At 37.7% G+C, this 25027-nt stretch overlaps 1 protein-coding gene across 2 annotated transcripts in view; it reads right to left on the reverse strand.

The window, feature by feature from the left end:
• Positions 1-25027, reverse strand: part of GABRA3 (gamma-aminobutyric acid type A receptor subunit alpha3) — a 285082-nt gene that overhangs the window by 98620 nt on the left and 161435 nt on the right. For both annotated transcript variants that reach the window (XM_006724811.4, NM_000808.4), the window contains exon 4: positions 19815-19882. In XM_006724811.4, the coding sequence (XP_006724874.1) occupies positions 19815-19882 (68 nt within the window). The remainder of the gene's footprint in view (positions 1-19814; positions 19883-25027) is intronic.

Genomic DNA, 25027 nt, shown 5'->3' on the forward strand with positions numbered 1-25027 from the left:
ATCAGACAAAATAGATATCAAGAAAAAAACTATAAGAAGATACAAAGAAGGTCACTATATAATGATAAAGGGTTCAATTCAGCAATAGGAAATAACAATTGTAAATATATATGCACCCAATGCTGGAGCACCCAGAAATATATAGCAAATATTATTAGAGTTAAAGAGAGAGATGGAGCCCTATGCAATGATGGCTGGAGAATTCAATAACTCATTTCAACATTGGACAGATAGTCCAGACAGACAATCATCACATAAACATTGGACTTAATCTGCAGTATAGATCAAATGGACCTAATAGATATTTACAGATCTTTTCCTCCAATGGTTGCAGAATACACATTTTTTTCCTCAGCACATGGGACATTCTTAAGGATAGACCCTATGTTAGGCTGCAAAACAAGCCTTAAAACATTAAAAAAATTTGAAATAATATCAAGCCTATTCTCTAACCACAATGGAAAAAAACCAGAAATCAATAATAAGAGGAATTTTGGAAACTACACAAACACATGGAAATTAAACAACATACTGCTGAATGACCAATGGGTCATTGAAGGAATTAAGAGAGAAATTGAAAAATTCCTTGAAACAAATGATAATGCAAACACAACATACCAAAACCTATGGCATGCAGTGAAAGCAGTGCTAAGAGGGAAGTTTATAGATATAAGTGCCTCTACCAAAAAGGAAGAAAAACTTCAAATAAACAACCTAACAATGCATCTTAAAGAACTAGAAAAAACAAGAGCAAACCAAGCCCAACATTAGTAGAAGAAAAGAAATAATAAAGATCAGAGCAGAAATAAATGAAACTTTAATAAATAAAACAGCACAAAAGATCAATGAAAAACAGTAGGTTTGTGAAAAGATAAACTTGATAAACCTTTAGCCAGACTAAGAAGAAAAGAGAGAATAATGAAATAAAATCAGAGATGAAAAAGGAGACATTAAAACTGATAAGGAAGAAATTCAAAGGATCATTATTGGCTACTGAGAGCAACTATTTGCCAATAAATTGGAAAATCTAGAAGAAATTGAGAAATTCTAAGACACATACAAACCTACCAAGATTGAACCATGAAGAAATCCAAACCTGAACAGACCAATAACAGGTAATGTGATCAAAGCCATAATAAAAAGACTCCTAGTAAAGAAAAGCCTGGGACCTGATGGCTTCACTGATGAATTCTACCAAACATTTAAAGAAGAACTAATACCAATCCTACTCAAACTATTTCAAAAAATAGAGGAGAAGGGAATCCTATATCAAGAGCATTCTACAAGGCCAGCATTACCTTCATACCAAAACTAGACAAAGACACATAAAAAAACTACAAGACAATATATCTGATGAATATTGAGGCAAAGATTTTCAAGAAAATACTAGCAAACCAAATTCAACAACACATTAAAAAGATCACTCATCATGTCCAAGTGGGATTTATCCCTGGGATTCAAGGATTGTTCAACATATGCAATTCAGTCAATGCGATACAGCATATCTATAGAATGAAAGACAAAAACCATATGATCATTTCAATTGATGCTGAAAAAGCATTTGATAAAATTCAACATCCCTTCATCATAAAAACCCACAAACCTGGGAAGAAAATGTTGACAGAAAAGTAACGATCACCTCAGAATTCTATAGCCAAACTTAGATTACCATTTAAGAGTGAAGTCAAAATAAAGATAATTTTAGATAAGTAAAATAAGGCAGAGAATTTACCATGAACAGATCTTCACTGTTGCTCCAGGTTTTCTCATGGCTGAATCACTCACAGCCTTCAGGTTTTAATCAAAAGTTACTGTATCCGAAGCATTGCTTGAACATCCTATCATTAATAGTAATCTCCCTTCCTCTTACCATGAGTTATTTTTCTTCCTTATAGCACTGAAAAAAAAATATTTTTTTATTTGTTTACACTGCACTAGCCAGCTTCCACTAGCCTGGAAGCTCCATGACAGCAGGGACTTTGTTTTGTTTACTGCTATATCTACACCACATAAAACTCTGCATAGCGTATAGCAGATGCTCTATAAGAATTTTAAATCAGTAGATGATTGAATGAATTATCATGAAAAGAACTACTAAAAGAAGATCTTCATGTGTTTAAAAATATAGCCAGCAGAAAGATGCAAAAAGGAATGGTGAGCATAAGTATTGACACAGTTATCCTAAACAAATATGAATATCTACAAATGACAATAAGAGCTGTAAAAACAAAGTGGAACAAATAACTACATTAATTCAATTTTTTCACTGTTTAACACAATGTTAACTGTGGGTTTGTCATATACGAGCTTTATTATTTTGAGTTATGTTCCTTCTATGTCCATTTTGTTGAGGGCTTTCATCATAAATGGATGTTGGATTTTATCAAATTCTTTTTTGGTATCTATTAAAATAATCACATGGGTTTTTGTTCTTGACACCCTTAATGTGATGCATCACATTTATTAATTTGTATATGTTGAACCATTCTTGCATTCCTGGGATGAATCTTACTTGATTATGGTGAATAAACTTTTTAATGTATTGTTGTATTTGCTTTGCTAGTATTTTGTTGAGGATTTTTGTATCTAGGTTCATCAGTGATATTGGCTTCTAGTTTTCTTTTTTTGTGGCCTTGTATGGTTTTAGCATTGGGGTAACATTGGCCTTGTGGAATGAGTTTGGACATATTCCCATCTCTTTAAGTTTTTGAAGAGTTTGAGTGAATTGGTATTATTAATTTTTTAAATGTTTGCTGGAATTAAGCAATGCAGCCATCAGGTCCTGGGTTTTATTTGACAGGAGAAATTTTATTATAGCTTCTATCTCATCACTCATTATTGGTTTATTGGGGTTTTCTCTTTCTTCATGGTTTAGTCTTAGTAAGCTGTATGTGTCAAGGAATGTATCCATTTCTTCTAGTTTTTCCAATTTATTGGTGTATAATTGTTTATAATAGTTTGGAATTATTCTTTTTATTTCTGAGATCTCACTTGTGCTTCCTTTTTCATTTCTGATTTTATTTGGGTCTTCTCTCTTTCTCTTAGTGTAGCTACAGGTTTGTTGATTTTATCTTTTCAAAAAAACAAGTTTTTTCATTGATCTTCTGTATATTTTGTTTTAATTTCATTTATTTTTGCACTGATCTTTACTATTACACCTACTAATTTGGGGTTTGATTTGTTCTTACTTTTTTTTAGTTTTTGAAGTGCATCATTAGGTTTTTTTTGGAGTGTCTTTCTATTTTTTTCACTTAAGTGTCTATTGCTGTAAACTTTACTCTTAGTACTGCTTTTACTGTATCCCACAGATTTTTTTTATGTTGTATTTCCACTTTTGTTGTTTCAGTACATTTTCAAATTTGCTTTGTGATAAGGTTTTGCTCTGTGTCCCCACCCAAATCTCACCTTCAATTGTAATAATTCCATGTCATGGGAGGGACCCGGTAGAAGGTAATTGAATCATGGGGGTGGGTTTTTCCCATGCTGTTCTCCTGATAGTGAATAAGTTTCATGAGATAAGATGGTTTTATAAAGGGGAGTGCCCCTGCACATGCCCTCTTCCCTGCCACCATGTAAGATGTCCCTTTGCTCTTCCTTTGTCTACCACCAGGATTATGAGGCCTCCTAGCCATGTGTAACTGTGAGTCCATTAAACCTCTTTCCTTTATAAATTACCCATTCCTGGGTATGTCTTTATTAGCAGCATAAGAATGGACTAATACACTTTGCTTTGAGATGGGGTTTCACTTTGTCACCCAGGCTGGAATGCAGTGGCATGAACATGGCTCACTGCAGCCTCAATCTTCTGGGCTCAAGTGATCCTCCCACCTCAGCCTCCCAAGTAGCTGAGACTATAAGTGCATGTCACCACACCTGGCTAATTTTTGTACTTTTTGTGTAGAGATGAGGTTTTGTGATGTTGCCCAGGCTGGTCTTGAACTCCTGAGCTCAAGGGATCGGTGTGCCTGGACCACCCAAAGTGCTGAGATTGCAGGCATGAGCCACTGTGCCTGGTCTTAAATTTACTACTTAATTTTTTCATTGGCTTATTGGTCATTCAGGAACATGTTCTTTAATTTCCATGTGTTTGTGTAGCTTAAAATGTTCATCTTGTTTCTGATTTCTAGTTTTATTCCATTGTGGACAGAAAAGATACATGATATAAATTCTATTTCCTTGAAATTGTTCAGACTTGTTTTGTTGCCTATGGAGCATCATTTGCAGATAATATGATCTTATACCTAGAAATACCTAAAGACTCCAACAAAAAATTGTTAGTACTGATAAATGAATTCCATAAAGTTGCAGGATATGAAATCAACATTCAAAAACAGTAACATTTATATATGCCAATGTCAGACAAATCAAGAAGGCAATCCCATTTACAATAACTGCAAAAAATGCAAAATACCTAAAAATCAATCTAACTCAAAAATAGAAAGATCAATACAAGGAAATTTAAAAACTGATGAAAGGAATTGAAGGGGCACAAAAAATGGAAAGATATACCACACTCATTGATTGACAGAATTGATATTGTTAAAATGACAATATTACACAAAGCAACTTACAAATCAATGCAATCCCTACCAAAAATACCAATGACATTCTCCACAGAAAAAGAAAAGACGAATCCTAAAATTTATGTAGAATAACAAAAGGCCTTGAATAACCAAAGCAATCCTGAGCAAAAAGAACAAAGCCTGAGGCATCACAGTATCTGACTTCAAAACTTACTGTAAAGCAATACTAAAAAAACACCACATCATGGTGCTGGCATAAACAGAGATACATAGACTAATGGAACAGAATGGAGAACCCAGATATAAATCCACACATTTACAGAAAATTCCTCTCCAACAAAGGCAGCAAGAACATACAACAGGGGAAGGAAAGTCTCATTAGTAAATAGTGCTGGGAAAACAGAATAACCCATATGTGGAAGAAATAAACTCGTCCCCTATCTCTCATCACACACAATAATAAAATCAAAATGGATTGAAGACTTAAATTTAAGACTTAAAATTATGAAACTACTGGAAGAAAACATTGCGGAAATGCTCCATGATACTGGCCTGGGTACAGATGTTTTATATAAGACTCAAAAGCATGGACAACCAAAGTAAAAATTGACAAGTGGATTACATCAAGTTCAAAAGCTTCTGCAAAGAAAATGAAACAATCTTCACAAAGTGAAGAGACAACCCACAGAACAGGAGGAAATATTTGCAAAATATCCATACGATATGGTTTGGCTGTGTACCCACCCAAATCTCATCTTGAAATGTATTTCCCATAATCCCCATGTGTCGTGGGAGGTAATTGAATTACAGTGGCAGTTACCCTCATGCTGTTCTTGTCATAGTGAGTGAGTGAGATCTGATGGTTTTATAAGAGGCTTTCCCCCCCTTTACTTGACACTTCTCTCTTCTGCCAGCATGTGAAGAAGGACGTGTTTGCTTCCCCATCTGCCATTACTGTACGTTTCCTGAGGCCTCCCCAGCCATGCTGAACTGTGAGTCAATTAAACCTCTTTCCTTTATAAATTACAGTCTTAGGCAGTTCTTTATGGCAGTGTGAGAACGGACTAATACAGTACCTTAGTACCAGGAGGTACTAGGGTGCTGCTGTAAGTATACCTGAAAATCTGGAAGCAACTTCGGGACTGGATAACAGGCAGAAGGTGGAACAGCTTGGAGGGCTCAGAAGAAGTCAGAAAGGCCAAGTGCAGTGGCTCACACCTGTAATCCCAGCACTTTGGGAGGCCAAGGCCAGTGGATCACTTGAGGTCAGGAGTTCAAGACCAGCCTGGCCAACGTGGTGAAACCCCGTCTCTACTAAAAATACAAAAATTAGCCAGGCACGGTGGCATATGCCTGTCATCCCAGCTACTTGGGAGGCTGAGGTAGGAGAATCACTTGAACCCAGGAGGCAGAGGTTGCAGTGAGCCAAGAACGCATCACTACACTTCAGCCTGGGTGACAGAGTGAGATTCCAACTTAAAAAAAAAAAAAAGACAGGAAAATTTGGGAAACTTTGGAACTTCCTGGAGACTTGGAGGCCTGAGAAGACAGGAACATGTGGGAATGTTTGGATCTTCCTAGAGACTTCTTTTTTTTTTTTTTGAGAGAAAGCCTCGCTTTTGTCCCCCAGGCTGGACTGCAATGGTGCAAACTCAGCTCACTGCAATCTCTGCCTCCCGGGTTCAAGCGATTCTCCTGCCTCGGCCCCCAAGAGTAGCTGAGATTACAGGCACCTGCTACCATGCCTGGCTAATTATTGCATTTTTAGTAGAGACAGGTTTGCACCATGTTGGCCAAGCTGGTCTAGAACTCCTGACCTCAGGTGATCCACCCGCCTAGGCCTCCCAAAGTGCTGGGATTACAGGCATGAGCCAATGCACCTGGCCTCCTAGAGACTTCTTGAATGGCTTGGACCAAAATGCTGATGATGATATGGACAATAAAGTCCAGACTGATATGGTCTCAGATGGGGTTGAGAAACTTGGGGGGAACTGGAATAAAGATAATTCTTGCTATGCTTTAGCAAAGAGACTGGTGGCATTTTGCCCCTGCCCTAGAGATCTGTGGAACTTTGAACTTGAGAAAGATGATTTAGTGTATCTGGCAGAAGAAATTTCTAAGCAGCAAAGTGTTCAAGAGGAAGCAGAGTATAGAAGATTGGAAAACGTTCAGCCTGAAAATGTGATAGAAAAGAAAAACCCATTTTCTGGGGAGAAATTCAAGCTGGCTGCAGAAATTTGTGTAAGTAATGAGGAATTGAATGCTAATTGCCAAGACAATGGGGAAAATATTTCCGGGGCATATCAGAGACCTTTATGGCAGCCCCTCCCATCACAGGCCCAGAGGCCTATGAGGGAAAAATGGTTTCCTGGACCAGGTCCAGGGCCCCTCTGCTGTATGCAGTCTCAGGACTTGGTGTCCTGCATCCCAGCCACTCCAGCTGTGTCTAAAAAGGGCCAATGTATAGCTCGGGCCATTGCTTTGGAGGGTGCAGCCCCCAAGCCTTGGCAGTTTCCATGTGATGTTGAGCCTACAGGTGCACAGAAGTCAATAATTGAGGTTTGGGAACCTCTGTCTAGATTTCAGAGGATATATGGAAACTCCTGGATGTCCAGGCAGAAGTTTGCTGCAGGGGTAGAGCCCTCATGGAGAACCTGTGTTAGGGCAGTGTGAAAGGGGAATGATCGAGTTGGATCCCACACACAGGTCCCCACTGGGGCACTGCCTAGTGGAGCTGTGAGAAGAGAGCCAGCATCCTGCAGACCCCAGAATGGTAGATCCATGGACAGCTTACATCATGCACGTGGAAAAGCTGCAGGCACTCGATGCCAGCCTGTGAAAGCAGCTGGGAGGGGGACTGTACCCTGCAAAGCCATAAGGGTGGAGATGCCCAAGGCTGTGGGAGCCCACCTCTTGCATCGGCATGACCTAGATGTGAGACATGAATTCAAAGGAGATCATTTTGGAACTTGAAGATTTAATGACTGCCCTATTGGATTTTGGACACGCATGGGGCCTGTTGCCAATTTGGCCAATTTCTCCCCTTTGGAATGGATGTATTTATCCAGCGCCTGTACCCCCATTGTATCTAGAAAGTAACTAACTTGCTTTCAATTTTACAGGCTCGTAGGTGGAAAGGACTTGCCTTGTCTCAGATGAGACTCTGGATTTGGACTTTTGAGTTAATGCTGGAATGAGTTAATAATTTGGGGGACTGTTGGAAAGGCATGATTATGTTTTGAAATGTGAGGACATAAGATTTGGGAAGGGCCAGGGGTGAAATGATATGGTATGGCTGTGTCTCCATCCGAATCTCATTTTGAATTGTAGTTTCCATAATCCCCACGTGTGGTGGGAGGGAACTGGTGGGAGGAAATTGAATCAGGGGGCAGGTATCCTCATGCTGTTCTCATGATAGTGAGTGAGTTCTCATGAGATTTGATGGTTTTATAAGGGGATTTTCCCCCTTTGCTTAGCACTGCTGTCCCTGCAACCATGTGAAGGGGGATGTGCTTGCTTTCCCTTCTGCTTTGATTTAAGTTTCCTGAGGCTTCCCCAGTCATGCGGAACTGTGAGTCAATTAAAACTTTTTGCTTTATAAGTTACCCAATCTTGGGCAGTTCTTTATAGCAGCAGGAGAATGGACTAACACACCATCTGACAAGGGATTAACAACCAGAAGATATAAGCCGCTCAAACAACTCAATAGAAAATATAAATAAATAAATAATCCTGTTTTAAAATGGGCAAAAGATCTGAATAGACATTTTTCTAAAGAAGACATACAAATGCCCAACAGGTGTATGAAAAACGCTCAACATCACTAATCATCAAGGAAATGCAAAACAAAACCACAACGAGATAGCACCTCATCTCAGTGAAAATGGCTTCTATCTGAAAGACAGGCAATTACAGATGCTTGCAAGGATGCGATAAAAGGGAAAGCTTATACACTGTTGGTGGAAATGTAAATTAGTATAAACACTATGGAGAACAGTATGGAGATTCCTCAAAATATTAAAGATAGAACTACCATATGATCCTGCAAATCCACTACTGGGTACATATCAAAAAGAAAGGAAATCAATATGTCCAAGAGCTACCTGTCCTCCCATGTTGATTGCAGCACTATTCACAATAGCCAAAATATGGCATTGACCTAAGTGCCCACCAATGGATGAATGCATAAAGAAAATACGGTATGTATATGTAATGAAATACTATTCAGCCTTAAGTATAATGAAATCCTGCCATTTGCAGAAACTTGGATGGAACTGGAGGTCATTACGTTATGTAAAATAAGGTAATCACAGAAAGACAAATATTGCATATTCTCACTTACATGTAGGAGCTAAAAAGTTTGAGCTAATGAAGATAGAGAATAGAATGATGATTAGTAGAGCAGGGGAAGGGTAGTAGGGAGGACAGATTACAGGACAAAAAAGAACAAAAGATATTTATTACCACTGAACTGTACACTCAAAATGGTAAAGATGGTAAAGTGTATATGTATTATTTTACCTCTATAAGTAAAATAGATAAATAAATATTACTGAAGGAAACACAATGTGGCTATATGCTATGTACATACAAGAGACACATCTGAAGACATAAAAACACAGAAGGTTTGAAAGTACTGTGATGGACAAATATGTGTAGGAAAATCATAAAGGTAGAGCTGTAAAGTACAGACAAAAGGGCATATTAAAAATCCTCTTTGAGATAAAATATCATTACACTAACAGATGGAGTATCTTGAGTGGAAAAAGTAACAACTCTAACTTTGTATGTTTCAATAACAGGTACTCAAAATATCTACTGCAAAAAATTGAATTACAAGGAAAAATCAACAAACCTTTAGACTCACGATAAGTGAAAGACCAATCAGACCAATAATTTGTAAGTTTAAAAAATTAGAACAACCCAGTTGGTAAGGATGAGCTAATAAACACTCATAAACTTATCTACTTAACACTTAGTAAAACACACACAGCATATTTACTTCCCACCCCACCCCCGACAAAAAAAAATGACCACGTGCTAAGACATAGGACAAATCTCAAGAAACACAAAAAGGTTTTACATCCTACAGATCATTCTCTTTCAATATGAGGCATTAAATTAAGAATCAATAACAAAAAGTTTTATAGTTGGAAATTGAAAAACACTAAAAAAATTTCAAGAAACAAAAAAGAAACCTTAAAGATTATTTGAAAATCTTTAGAAGTGAACAATAGTGAAAATGTTTACATATGAAATCTTGTTTGGGGCTCTTAAAGTGGTGCTTGGAGGGAAATTGATATTCATAAAGATGGCTTAAAGATAGCCTTTAAGGAAAAGGAAAACCAATAAGTTAATATACCTCAGGAAACCAAAAGGACCACAGAATACCCCAAGGAAAGTAAAGAAAGAGATGATCCAGATAAGAGCACAAATCAGTGAAACAGAAAACAAAAATAAATAATACAGATGATGAACAAAACAAAAAAAGGTTACTTTGAAAACACTAATGATATCAAAAATTTTGATAAGTTTAATTGAGAAAACGAGACAGGGAGAATTGTTATGGGTAGGGGTAAGAATATGGGTACATGGAGCCCAATTACACTATTTTTTTCTACTTTGGGGTGTGTGTGTGGCATATGTTTTACATATATATTTATTTATAGGATATGAATATATTTATAGAAATATATTCATATATATAATAAATGTATACATGTATCATATATTATTTAATTTAAACATTAAATATATATAATATAATATATATATTTAATATTATATATATAATTTATATATATTTAATATTATATATATAATTTATATATATAATATTATATATATATAATTTATATATATTTTATTATATATAATAAAATATATATAAATTATATATATAAATTATATATAATTTAATATTATATATAAATATATATAATATATAATATATATTTAATATTATATATAATAAATATATATTTTAAATATAAAATATATATTTACATATTTATTTTAAATGTAAAATATATATTTACATATTTATTTTAAATATAAAATATATATTTACATATTTATTTTAAATATCAAATAAATAGAGCTGGCTGTGGTGGCTCATGCCTGTAATCCCAGCACTTTGGGAGGCCAAGGCAGGCAGATCACAAGATCAGGAGTTCGAGATGAGCCAGCCTGGCCAACATGGTGAAACCCTGTCTCTACTAAAAATACAAAAATTAGCCAGGTGTGGTGGCGCGTGCCTGTAATCCTAGCTACTGGGGAGGCTGAGGCAGGAGAATCGCTTGAACCTGGGAGGCAGAAGTTGCAGTGAGTCGAGATCGTGCAACTGCACTCCGGCCTGGACAACAGAGTGAGATTCCATCTCAAAATAAATAAATAAATAAATATATTTATATCCTGTAAATAAATCATTTATATATATATTTATAGGATAGATATAGATGGCTAGATATGAATGAGAGACAGTTAATTTGGGAATACTTATGAACACACATACAAATACTAATAATAAAATAATAGTAAACCTAACTAAAACATGTATAAAAAGGAATACCTCCCTGTAAAATCCGATTTTTTTAAGGAATGAAAAGATGGTCTAATATTAGGAAATCTATTGATGTAATTAATAACATTAACATATTAGAGGAGAAAATTCATGCAATCATCTTAATACAGGCCAAAGGAAGAGTTACAAAATTTCAAATACATTCATTATTAAACACACACACACACACAGCCCACAGGAAACTTTAATACAAAAGTGGCAATATGAAGAAACAAGGTTGCCTAGAGTTTATACTTTTGCTGATGCAGGTGGTGGCAAAGCCATCTTGTCTTTAGTATGTACAGATTGACCACTAAACATATAAAAAGATGCTTAAACACCAAAGGTAATCAGAAAAATGCAAACAAAATAAATTAGATACCATGTTATACCCATCACAGTGTCAAAAATAAAGTATGACAATACGAAGCATTAGCAAAAGTGCAGAGAAATTGAGCTCTCATACACTGCTATTGAGATTATACATTGATATGATTCATCACAAGAGTATTTGGCCCTAAACTGAAAAAAGTTAAAAATGTGCAAGCCCTAACAAACCACAAATTTTATCTTTAGGTACACACCCTAAAGAAATTAAAAAATGTTCACAAAAATATGTGTACAAGAATGTTTGTTGTATTACTGCTTTTTAATAGCCAAAAAAGGAAACAGCCCAAATGCACATTAACAAGAGAATGGATGAATGTATGACCACATATTCATACAATGTAATAATCTTTGATAGTTAAAATAAATGAATTAGAGTAAAATACACAAAAAAGTAGAGTTTTTAATACGTGGTAAAAAATAAGTTGTATAATGATACACATGCTATGGATGAGTTTTATATAAAAGTTTCAAAACACAAAAGCCACTATTTGTTATTTATGAATGTATGTGATATACACATTCTTATTTATAAAGTATGCATATAAATGACAAAAAGACAAAAGCAACTTCACGGTTGTGAATATCTTTGAGGAGGGAGGGAAACAGGGAAATGGTATCAGGGTAAGGTACACAGGTAATTTTGCTTGTATCTTTAAATATTATTTTTTAGATAATATGCCATAAAAAGACATTTGACTCATTTTTAAGATTTTAAAAAGTTGGATGATCATATCTATTTTTTCTCTACACAGAGAAATTGACAGCCTAAAATAGAAAAAGGTTTTCATCCAGTCTGTGCCTCAGACTGCCAATAAGCGGGAGCTTGAAGTAGACATAGCTACTTTTTCTAGTACTAGAGAGAAAACAGGTACAATAATTTCAAGTCTATTGCCACCAGGAAAGAGATCCCTGTGCTACTCTCCTTTTAATTAACAGTTTTTTTTTTCTGCATGGTGTTTGGATACTAGGATAATGGCATAATTTTCATAAGCAGTTGCCATATCAGAATGTATGTTATCTGAATCTGTTATCTAGAATTATTACTATAATGTCTTTTTCTGTGTTATTTCCCAGGCTTCCATTTTATTTTTCTCATTAAGCTGGATGGTCAGTTCTTTTATTGTATTGTATACTTGCACCATTTTCCCCCCTGATTATCCACTGTATACCATAGGAAATTTTCTCTACACAGTCAAAACTACTGGGGAAAATCACAAAGTGATTATTTGCTCCACAAGTATTCCATGACCTTTGGCCAAAAGCAATCAGATTTTGACCTAACCATTCTAGAAATGTAATCAATTCCTTCCTTGCAAATTGATCCCTTGTATACGCTCCAAGGATGACTGCCTAGAAATTGACAAATGAATTCTGTTGTTTTGTGAGGCATTTAAATCACATCTTCCAGATAATAAGCCTGAGTCTGCCTCCTGGGAAAGACGCTTAATACATTTTCTACACAGGGCAGAGATGACACTTAGTTCTTGGGGAAGCATTTCTGTCTTGTTAGAGCTTGAATGGCTTCAACTCTCTAACACTGTTCGATGTGTCAAAGCAGGCTCCCAGATAAAGCCTGCAAAGTTTATTCAGCTTTAGCAGTGTATGGGGCCAAGGCACGTGATAACTGCATTACAATGAAGGCCTTGCCATTTTCCCATTACAAGGGCCACTCCCTCTTATTTTGGCCATCCCATCTTTCCTCTACTCTTCGCCTTCTCTTCATCATTCTCTATTTTGAAGAAACATAATTGATACGTTATTTCAGATGTATTTAGTCCATGAAATAGTCTTTTTTTTAAATTAAAGTTTTAGGGTACATGTGCACAATGTGCAGGTTTGTTACATATGTATACATGTGCCATGTTGGTGTGCTGCAACCACTAACTTGTCATTTAACATTAGGTATATCTCCTAATGCTATCCTTCCTTCTTCCCCCCACCCCACAACAGGCCCCAGTGTGTGATGTTCCCCTTCCTGTGTCCATGTGTTCTCATTGTTCAATTCCCACCTATGAGTGAGAACATGTGGTGTTTGGTTTTTTGTCCTTGCAATAGTTTGCTGAGAATGATGGTTTCCAGCTTCATCCATGTCCCTACAAAGGACATGAACTCATCAGTTTTTATGGCTGCATAGTATTCCATGCTGTATATGTGCCATATTTTCTTAATCCAGTCTATCATTGATGGACATTTGGCTTGGTTCCAAGTCTTCGCTATTGTGAATAGTGCCACAATAAACATACATGTGCATGTGTCTTTATAGCAGTATGATGTATATTCCTTTGGGTATATACCCAGTAATGGGAGGGCTGGGTCAAATGGTATTTCTAGTTCTAGATCCCTGAGGAATTGCCACACTGACTTCCGCAATAGTTGAACTAGTTTACACTCTCACCAACAGTGTAAAAGTGTTCCTATTTCTCCACATCCTCTCCAGTACCTGTTGTTTCCTGACTTTTTAATGATTGCCATTCTAACTGGTGTGAGATGGTATCTCATTGTGGTTTTGATTTCCATTTCTCTGATTGCCACTGATGATGAGCATTTTTTCATGTGTCTTTTGGCTGCATAAATGTCTTCTTTTGAGAAGTGTCTGTTCATATCCTTCGCCCACTTGTTGATGGGGTTGTTTGTTTTTTTCTTGTAAATTTGTTTGAGTTCTTTGTAGATTCTGGATATTAGCCCTTTGTCAGATGAGTAGATTTCAAAAATTTTCTCCCATTCTGTAGGTTGCCTGTTCACTCTGATGGTAGTTTCTTTAGCTGTGCAGAAGCTCTTTAGTTTAATTAGATCCCATTTGTCAATTTTGGCTTTTGTTGCCATTGCTTTTGGTGTTTTAGATATGAAGTCTTTGCCCATGCCTATGTCCTGAATGGTATTGCCTAGGTTTTCTTCTAGGGTTTTTATGGTTTTAGGTCTAACATTTAAGTCTTTAATCCATCTTGAATTGATTTTTGTCTAAGGTGTAAGGAAGGGATCCAGTTTCAGCTTTCTCCATATGGCTAGCCAGTTTTCCCAGCACCATTTATTAAATAGGGAATCCTTTCCCCATTTCTTGTTTTTGTCAGGTTTGTCAAAGATCAGATAGTTGTAGATATGTGGCATTATTTCTAAGGGCTCTGTTCTGTTCCATTGGTCTATATCTCTGTTTTGGTACCAGTACCATGCTGTTTTGGTTACTGTAGCTTTGTAGTATAGCTTGAAGTCAGGTAGTGTGATGCCTCCAGCTTTGTTCTTTTGGCTTAGGATTGACTTGGCAATGCGGGCTTTTTTTTGGTTCCATATGAAATTTAAAGTAGTTTTTTCCAATTCTGTGAAGAAAATCACTGGTAGCTTGATGGGGATGGCAATGAATCTATAAATTACCTTGGGCAGTATGGCCATTTTCACGATATTGATTCTTCCTACCCATGTGCATGGAATGTTCTTACATTTGTTTGTATCCTCTTTTATTTCATTGAGAAGTGGTTTGTAGTTCTCCTTGAAGAGGTCCTTCACATCCCTTGCAAGTTGGATTCCTAGGTATTTTATTCTCTTTGAAGCAATTGTGAATGGGAGCTCACTCATGATTTGGCTCTCTGTTTGTCTGTTATTGGTGTATAAGGATGCTTGTGATTTTTGCACATTGATTTTGTATCCTGAGACTTTGCTGAAGTTGCTTATCAGCTTAAGGAGATTTTGGGCTGAGATGATGGGGTTTTCTAGATATACAAGCATGTCATCTGCAAACAGAGACAATTTGACTTCCTCTTTTCCTAATTGAATACCATTTATTTCCTTCTCCTGCCTGATTGCCCTGGCCAGAACTTCCAACACTATGTTGAACAGGAGTGGTGAGAGAGGGCATCCCTCTCTTATTGGCATTGTTTATATTTCCTGGCTCTCTATGTTACGTAAAAATATCCAAGGAGATTCCTGGTCATAGACTCCTAGAAAAAGCTCAAGGACATAGATTCCTTTCTATATTGCATCTGCAATGCCATATCCTGTGGAATAAGAATAAATTGACAGCCTAAAATAGACAAAGGTTCTCATCCAGTCTGTGCCTCAGACTGCCAGTAAGGGAGAGTTTGAAGTAGACATAGCTACTTTTTCTAGCACTAGAGAGAAAACAGGTACAATAATTTCAATTCTACTGCCACCAGGAAAGAGATCCCTGTGCTATTCTCCTTTTAATTAACACAATTTTTTTTTCTCCATGGTGTTTGGATACTAGGATAATGGCATAATTTTCATAAGCAGTTGTCATATCAGAATGTACGTTATCTGAATCTGTTGTCTAGAATTATTACTATAATGTCTTTTTCTGTGTTCTTATTTCCCAGGATTCCATTTTGTTTTTCTCATTAAGCTAGATGGTTAGTTCTTTCATTGTATTGTATACTTGCACCATTACCTGATTGTCCACTGTATATCCTAGGAAATTTCTCTGTGGCAGCTGACACTAGTGGCACTAGCTGGCACCTAGTGGGATCTAAGCAAAGTATTCCTGGGGAGAGGGTGAGGTTAATAATACCTAAAATTGGCATTTTAAGTTTCCCAGTTATTATCTCCCTGACTCTCCTAACATTACTCCTCTTTTCCCTCTTTATTTTCTCATTAGTTTTCTTGGTATAGTTCAGACAAATACTTGTTAATTACATACCATGGGACCCTGGGTTCCTGCACCTCTGACATGCTCAGGGACTAGAAGAGAAGGTGGAGCAGTGCCTGGAGCCTTAGGATCTTGAGAGCTAGGATGGAAGCTAGGTCAGAAGGGAATTTGGACCAGATAGAAGAGCAGCCAATGTTTTTCTCAGCTGTTACTTTTCTGCTTTCCTTTCCAGTGACTGACAATATGCCTAGAATGATATTCCTAAGCCACTTGCCCACTGTCTCTGCATTCTAATTCTTTGCAACCTTTCTCTTATTGCCATTTCCACCCTCTTCCTATACATCTGATGGAGAAAATGGTCTAAACTCTCCTAATAATAGATAATTATAGAAGGTTGCATGGCCCCAGTTCACTCAAATTGGGATAGTCTTCTTTGTTCTGTTTCTCTCCTAGGAGATCATGGACACAGGATTGGCATTACTACTGAGGAGCTATGATGCTTTGTGTGACCAGCAAGCTCAATTTGTTGCAAATGAATAACACCAGCCTCACCACAAGCCTGTGAAACTGCCAGGGCAACCATTTTCCAACTTATCTCTTGTACTCTAAATTAAATTTCTTTTTTTTCCCTCTGACTTTCTCCTTAGAAACATCTACCACTGTTTAGCTTTCATCTTTGCTCAGTTCCCTACTGTCATAGTTCCTTATATTCATGAATGGAGAAGCCACCAAACCTAGTAGCTGAAGCTTGGAATCATCAATCATTGAGTCACCAGTCTTAATAATCACTAATGTCTCCTGAGGAAAGCTATTTTCACTCTTTATCTGCAGGGCTTGCTATTAATGTTTAATTTCATCTCAACAAACACATACAGAGGACCTCTGTCAGGTTCTGTGCTAAATGCTGGAGAACCAGAGATGTCCCTGACATGTTTTCTGTCCTTGAAAATTTTTCAGCTAAGTGGAGGAAGACAGTCATTATTTTTCCCTCAGATTTGATTTGTTCCTTCTCATTTATTCTTGCACTTAATAAAAAGTTGGGAGTTTGCCATGTACCAAACACTGAGTCAGACATTTATGGTATTGAGATGAACAAAACAGACATGGCTTATACCTTCATGGAGCTTTTGTCAAAAAAGCTGAGAAGCTGTGTCTGTAAGGGCCAGTGTTTGGCCAAGGAACGTAATGGATGTAAAATATTATGGGTGGTGGTGTGTCAATGTTCAAAGTGGCAGCGTAATTTTCCCCCTTTGTGAACAAAAGACTGCCTCTATTTCCTTAGGAAAGTATTTTGGACCCAAACGCCCTCTTTTCCTGGAAATGAGCCAAGAACCCAGGCAGCCCAAATTTTCATCAACTTTTCCAAGTAGTCTGTGGTCTCAGGGGAGCCTGGGTTCTTGGTGAAACTAGTTGCCAAAGTCAGAAGACTGCCTAAAGCTTTACCCAAATGCATCCCTGGCCCTGGGATCAATTGAACAGTCTACTTAGTAGCACAGAAAAAAAAACATTTCTCAAAACACCCGAAATATGCTTTTTAGCCAGAATGATTGTAGCTATTCTGCCTTGTGACTGGATGGACATGCGGCTAAAAATAATGTGAAATTCATTTGACCAAAGTCTGCCCTCTCTATCAGGAAGGTGCCATTCTGTTGCTTCAGCTAAATAATGAGGAATAAAAACAAACAAGCAAATTATAACATGAAACTTCAAGAGACATAGACAGAAAGTCCCAATTGTTAGAAACGTCTCCAGAGCCTGGACACACCCATACACGCCTGCTATGGTGAGGAAGCAGCAGAGTGAGGAGCTGGTTGGAACAGGGACTGTGTGTGTCCTTCTCTGGTATGCCTGGGTTTAGGTATCTGTTTGCATATGTGTTTCTACAGAATGCCTAGAATAGTGTGTGGGCTGTGTACCCTATATGTATTTGTTATGTGTATGTATATTTGTCTGAATGTTATTTATGGTTGTTGGTGCATGAATGAAAATGAGTGAGTGAGTGTATGTGTGTGTGAGAAGAGTCACTTCATTTATCCTTTTATAAATATCCTAATTTAATTCCTAACAATAGAAAAAGAGCTACATACACCTGGTGAGTATGGTTGTCTCTGATGGGCTGTGAGATCTCTGAATATAGGGCTTCCTAGAGCCTTTAATGCATAGTTGGGCTCGTAAGGAGTACTTGTTGAATGGCCAACTGGCAACAATGTTAACACATGCCTGGATTTTAACACATGCCTGTGGGAATTACTAGTCAACAAGTTGACAGAGGGCAATGGAGACATACAGGCTTTCTTGCTGTCCCTAAGAGAGAGCCATCTCCTCCATTCCTTATATCTTACATACCCCTTAATGAGCTCTCCCTGTGTGTCAAATGCTGTTAAGTGCCAGGGAAGCCATGGAGACTTGGTACTTGCCCTCGAGGAGTTCAAAGGAAGTCTAATGTACCCTTCTCTTTACTCTACACTTGAAAGACAAGGTTCAGACCTCTCCTTTACCCATGCCTGGCCTTCCAAACATTCACATACTGATGATTTCTTCTCCTGAGAACTAGCCAGCTTTTCCAATTGACTCATAGACCTTGCACCTGATTGAAGAGTCATGTAAAATCAACGGGCCTAAATCAACTCTCAGGCTCCAGCCTTTTCCCCTTTGTACTCCATCCTGCACAGATCACCAGATCAATCATTCCAAAACAACACATATATTTTTACTGTCCTAACAAAATCCACCCAATGGCTCTGCATTACCTATAAGAAAACCTCTACCACTTCCCTACACAACTGTTTGTGTTAGTCCAACAGGCGGAAAGAAGCTTTGTCCCCTGCCAAGTAGTAGTCCCACTGAAAATAGACACACAGAAAAAAACTCTAAATAGTGAACATGGGCATGTCATTATCTTCAAACATATTTTCCCTGATACTAGGATTTTTGCTTGCAACACAAAGTCAGTCATTCAACAAAAACTTATTGAACATCTAATAATGGCCAGGTATACAAAGCAGATAATAGCTTTTTTGTGTCTCTAAATCATAATTATTCAATTGAATATTTGATACTCAGTATATATCGATAGGGTATCTATTTGAGTGAGGCCTTCTGCTTCAACTCTCCACTGTACTCTTTGTTTTGAATACAATGGATAATGGTGAGAAAAGGGGCCACTCCCTTGCTTGTTCTGCTGTGCCCTGCTCTATATTTTGAGTCTGCAATGAAGCTCTCTCCATGCCCAAATCTGTACAAAGAATAGTTTCCAGAAGTGATTTAGATTCTTTCTCCAAACTGTTTGTATCATTCTGGCCAGTCCATGTCCCTAGTGGATGAAACCCAGTTACAAGGAACAGACTTCTTGGATGACACCACCAGCTGCTTTACTGAGAATCCCCACCACAATTCTCTCCTCATATGACCTACCTGTACCAATATGTGTGGTGCCAGCAGAGTGTGAAGGGAGAAGTCAGGGAAGCTTTAATTAAGGATAGGGAACCAAACAAACTTTTGAAAGATGTGTCGTGGGAGAAAGATAAGGGCACTCCTGAAAGGGGTATATACATTATATGTGAATAGGTGGGGAGAGCAGGGCAAAGATGGATTTGGCTAAACGTAGGGTGGCGAGGGTAGGAAATTCATATGAGAAAAGACCACTCCTTAGAATATAGCTACAAGGCCCTGCCTTAGGAAAGCTCCAATTTATTTTCTTTGGTCTAGTGCATCCTCTTTTACATTTACCTTTGCAAGAACTTACCATGTCAGTGTCTGACACAGGGCCAAAACTGGTCACGTAGATGTCAGTCTTCACTTCAGTCACTGCATCTGCGTGAAAGAAAGTAGAAAAGCAGAATGTCAGGAAAGGCTTTTGTCTTAGCTCAGAGAGAGTCCAGTGCAGTACTCTGAATGACAGCCAACTTACTACTTCTGAGAAAGGAAAACCCCTCAAAAACTTCTCATCTGTGCTATCTCTTCACAGGGAACATGCTAGGTACAGACTCAAAGTCTATCCCTTTAGTATCATTGAAAATGACAGCATAATACCAAAACAACAAAGCTTAGATAGGGCCCTTAGAGATCCCTGACATTCACAAGAGCTGAGCTCTCACTGGGCTTACCCTTACCTGTAGTAGGTTACAAATGTTGCAATATCCAACACTCTTCCACTTCTAGGAACATAGGATGATTGTTCTTCCACTCCCCTGCCTTTTTAAAATATAGAGGGGCAATAGGAATGGTTCTGGATGTGGGAGAAAGTAATATGTGTCTCTCATGGCTGGAACAATTGATGTCTAATGCAAGACCCTCCATGCCATGATGATCGTAAAAACACACATTGCTGTGGTGCTACAATAAAATTGAAAAAGTCTGGAATGATGAGCTAATATATGGAGGAGCACTGCCCTGGAGAGTTGCCTGGATCCACAATAGACTTTGCATGAATGAGAAATAATTTTTGGGGGGGTTAATTGTCCCATATTTGGAGACAACTGATATCATTTGATACACTCTTTACATTTACTTTCCTTCATTGTAACCATTTGTTTTACTTGTCAATCTTCCCACCTAACCCAAGAGCTTCTGAAAGGTTTATGACTCAGATGGTGCTCACTAAACATCAAGTTTTGCATGAATGGATTAATCTCATCACACACCACATATTTGCCAAATTGGAAATTAATACTGTCTTAGTCCATTCAGGCTGTTACAACAAAATACCTTAGACTGGGTAATTTATAAAGAACATAAATTCATTGCTCACAGTTCTGGAGTCTGGGAAGTCTTAGATCAAGGCACCAGCAGGTTCAGTGTCTGGTGAGGGTCCACTCCTCATAGATGGTGCCTTCTATGTCCTCACATGATGGAAGGGGCTAGGGAGCTTGCTCAAGCTTCTTTTATAAGAGCACTAATCCCAATCATGAGGGTGGAGCCCTCCTGACCTAATCGCCTTCTAAAGGCCTCACTGCTTAGTACTATCTTAATACTATAGTATTAAGTACTATATAGTACTTATATACTATATAGTACTTAGTACTAAGTATTTATAGTACTTAGTACTATAAATTTCAGCATACAGATTGTGGGGAGACAAAAACATCCAGAACAGCAGCTACCCAGAGAAGTGAAGTTTATAGTATATAAATAAGTTATATACTTATAAGTTAGTTATAAATATACTTATAAATAAGTTATATACTTATATACTATAAGTATAGTATAGTATATAAGTTATATACTTATATACTATAAGTATAGTATAGTATATAAGTTATATAAGTATATATACATCCAGAACAGCAGCTACCCAGAGAAGTGAAGTTTTTCCACTACTGAGTTTTTCTTTTCCTGCTTCTGTCAGCCCTACTTACCCCCACTGCAGCCCAGTTAGCCTACCCATTCCAGCGTACCTCAAATGGAGCATGAGCTAAGGCAGGCTATCCCAGCCTTGCAAAGCCCATTTCAGCCTACCAGACACCTCAAGATTACAGTAAACCAAACAAGTCTCACTCCAGCCCAGCATAGCTGACCTGAATTGAGCACACTAGTAACACAGCTAACAGGAGTAAAGCCTACACAAGCCTTGATGTATGTCTATAATAGAGCTGGCTACTGCAGTTTATGGTGCTATTTCTTTTCTCTCACGGAAAGGTAGGGAACACATCTACTCCATCTGTACCATATTAGCTGTACTCATCCAGACCTGAGTTTTGGCCCAAATGTATTTTAGCTCTCGTTGATTTCTCACTTTCCAGAACCATTCCTTAGGCTTAATATATTGTGCCCCTACTCAGGCATTTATGTGTTCAATATACTCAAGGCCACTACACTCATCCATAAAAATTCCCATTTTGAGAAGAGACTATGAGTATCATTTAATAATAATCAACACTATAATCAGTTCACCAAAATACACAATTTACTCCCAAACTTAATCAGCAAATAACATGTCTCTGAAACTAGAGCTGTGTTTTAAATAGCTGGGCTCTCATCTAGAGCAGAGGATTCTTTGGAGCTATTTCGGTACTTGAAGGAGAAGAGACAAAACTTCAGAACCCAGAATATGCTCCCTTAAGGTTTCTCCCTTCAGACACATTGCCAGGCTCATTGGCTAAAGAAGCAAATGCCTATATACCTACTGTGTGACATAATGACCTCCAATTGTCCTATCCCCAAATACATAAAACAAAATAAATTCATTAATGGAAGAGACCACCATTATATTTGAATCCAATATTTTAGGCAAAAACATTGCAGATACAGAATAACTTTCTAAATCAACATGGTTGTAAAATTGTAAGATAGTCATGCAGACTTCCAACATCCTACAGATAAGAAGAGAGATAGTAGGGAAAAGTCTATAAAATTTATAGGTAATATGATTTGGCTCTGTGTCCCCATCCAAATCTCACCTTGAATTGTAATCCCCATAATTCCCATGTGTCAAGGCGGGACCAGGTGGTGGTAATTAAATCATGGGGGCGGTTTTCCCCATGCTGTTCTCATGATAATGAGTGAATTTCATGAGATTTGATGGTTTTATAAGTGTCTGGCATTTCCCCTGCTGGCACTCATTCTCTCTCCTGTTGCCCTGTGAAGAGGTGCCTTCCACAGTGATTGTAAGTTTCTTGAGGTATCCCGAGCCATGCAAAACTGTGAGACAATTAAACCTATTTTCTTTATAAATTACCCAGTCTCGGATATTTCTTCATAGCAGCGTAAGAACGGATGAATACAATGGTTATGGTGGGACTCAAGAGTTAATGGGTAGGATGGCTTGATGGCAATCCCAACTCTAAAATGACCAAGGAAGGTCTTCTGTCTATATTGCCTCCTCCAATCCTCTTCTAAGTACCTTTCTTCTATTTCTTTTTTTTCTTCCATCCTTCTTTCCTCTCCTCCTTCATTCAACACCACTTCCTCTATTCCAATTTTCTTACCTGCCAGACTCTTTCCAAATGGGATAGAAGTGGAGGAAGAAGGGATTTGGTGTCCAGTGTACCAGATCAGCTAGCTACTAGATCAAACTTCTCAACATTATTTTCCTGCTGTTCCCCACACTGTTTCTTTCTTAACAATCAATGGTTGCCTTTTCAATGAAAGTGAACAGGTTAGAAATAAGAATGGCACCAGATTTGCATCAACCAGAAATCCTTCATGCAGTCAGGTGTGGAAAAGAGATTGTTACTGCATCCTGGTATCATAAGTGAGAGAGGGCTCTGAATTTATGTTACCATCCACAGGCCTCTATTCCAAGCCCAGGCAAAAGCAGGGATATTTGACATGACTCCAGTGTTCTACACGGGGACCACTATGCCTTGATGTCTAGCCCCATTTTCTGGCTAAGAAATCGGGCTGTCTTGGGGCAAGGCACCTGATAACACATGGAGAAGAACCCTGATGAATATGATACAGTAGTTAAAAGCATGACTAAGTTTGGATTTAGGTTCTGCCACTGCTCTTTTGTGTGCCTTTGTACCTGTTTCTTCTTGGGAAAATTGAGGTAATGATACTTCAGAATTGCTCTGAGAATTTAAGGAGATAGTATTTAGACCAGTAGTTAGAACAGATTCAGAGTTTAGTACATGTTAGCTAATGCTGCTGCTTAATACTATTTCTGAGAATAGATCACATGAGCCACCCATAAGGCCAAATGGGCAGAACTCACACAGATGTCTAAGGTCCTGGGTCCTAGACACTGAAGACAGTATCCACTCACCACTTCAGCTCCTCTATGTGAAGGAATGACTAGGAGTTTCCTATTTCATTTAATTAAGTGCAAAGGCCAGTGAATTAAACTGAAACTCATGAGGGCCACAATATATAGAGTCTAGCCTCTGTTGACAGAATTCTTGATAGAGACAAATATGAAATTTTAATTAGTAGAAGATAAGAAGGGATTTTTCTTCTCTTTTTATATAATTGTTTACAGTTGCTGCTTGGCTCTTTCTTCATTTGCTTCAGGGATTTAATTTCCTTCCAATATTATCCTCTGAAACAAAAGGTGAACACAATTGTTTTTCCTTTTGCAAATTTACTGCAGTATTGGAAGCACTTGGATGATCCTCAAGTGGTCTGCACATATATGCATAACGTACACATACACATGATTACACACACCCTTAAACCTCAATAGGACTCCCATTGGTAGGGAACTCATTTGCCAGACCCTACAGTACTTCTGCTTGCTGCTAATCTGAAAGAATAAAGATGAGCCGATCAACAAGTGATCACTGTATTTATGTTGAGTATACTGCTCATAATATACTGTATTTTCTGGTTTTACCTCAAATATATGTCCAATAATTCTTGAATTTTCTTGAAACCAGTCTCTGTAAGTTTGCCATTTCTAGCTGCTCCACCCCAGCACAATCATGCACATTTATCTTAGTGCTACCCTTTGGATCCACACAACAAAGTCTGCTTTCTCTTCCCTTTAAGAAAAAAAAATATATATTTAAAAGCTTCAGAGATTTAAAGAAAGTGATCCTTGTACCCCTGTCTGCTCTTCTTGTTTCTTTCCATACTAAATGCCCCGACTTATTTTGATTATGTCTCCCTTCTTTTTTTTTTTTCCTTTGGCTCACCTTGTATTTTATCTTTCTTTCTTTCTTTTTTTAAATTATACTTTAAGTTCTAGGATACATATGCACAACGTGCAGGTTTGTTACATAGGCATACATGTGCCATGTTGGTTTGCTGCACCCATTAATTCATCACTTACATTAGGTATTTCTCCTAATGCTATCCCTCCCCCTGCCCCCCACCCCACGACAGGCCCTGGGATGTGATGTTCCCTGCCCTGTGTCCAGGTGCTTTCACTGTTAAATAATCACCTATGAGTGAGAACATGTGGTGTTTGGTTTTCTGTCCTTGCAATAATTTGCTCAGAATGACGGTTTCCAGCTGCATCCATGTCCCTGCAAAGGACATGAACTCATCCTTTCTTTATGGCTGCATAGTATTCCATGG

Source organism: Homo sapiens, chromosome X, assembly GCF_000001405.40.
Source record: "Homo sapiens chromosome X, GRCh38.p14 Primary Assembly".
Classification (NCBI taxonomy): domain Eukaryota; kingdom Metazoa; phylum Chordata; class Mammalia; order Primates; family Hominidae; genus Homo; species Homo sapiens.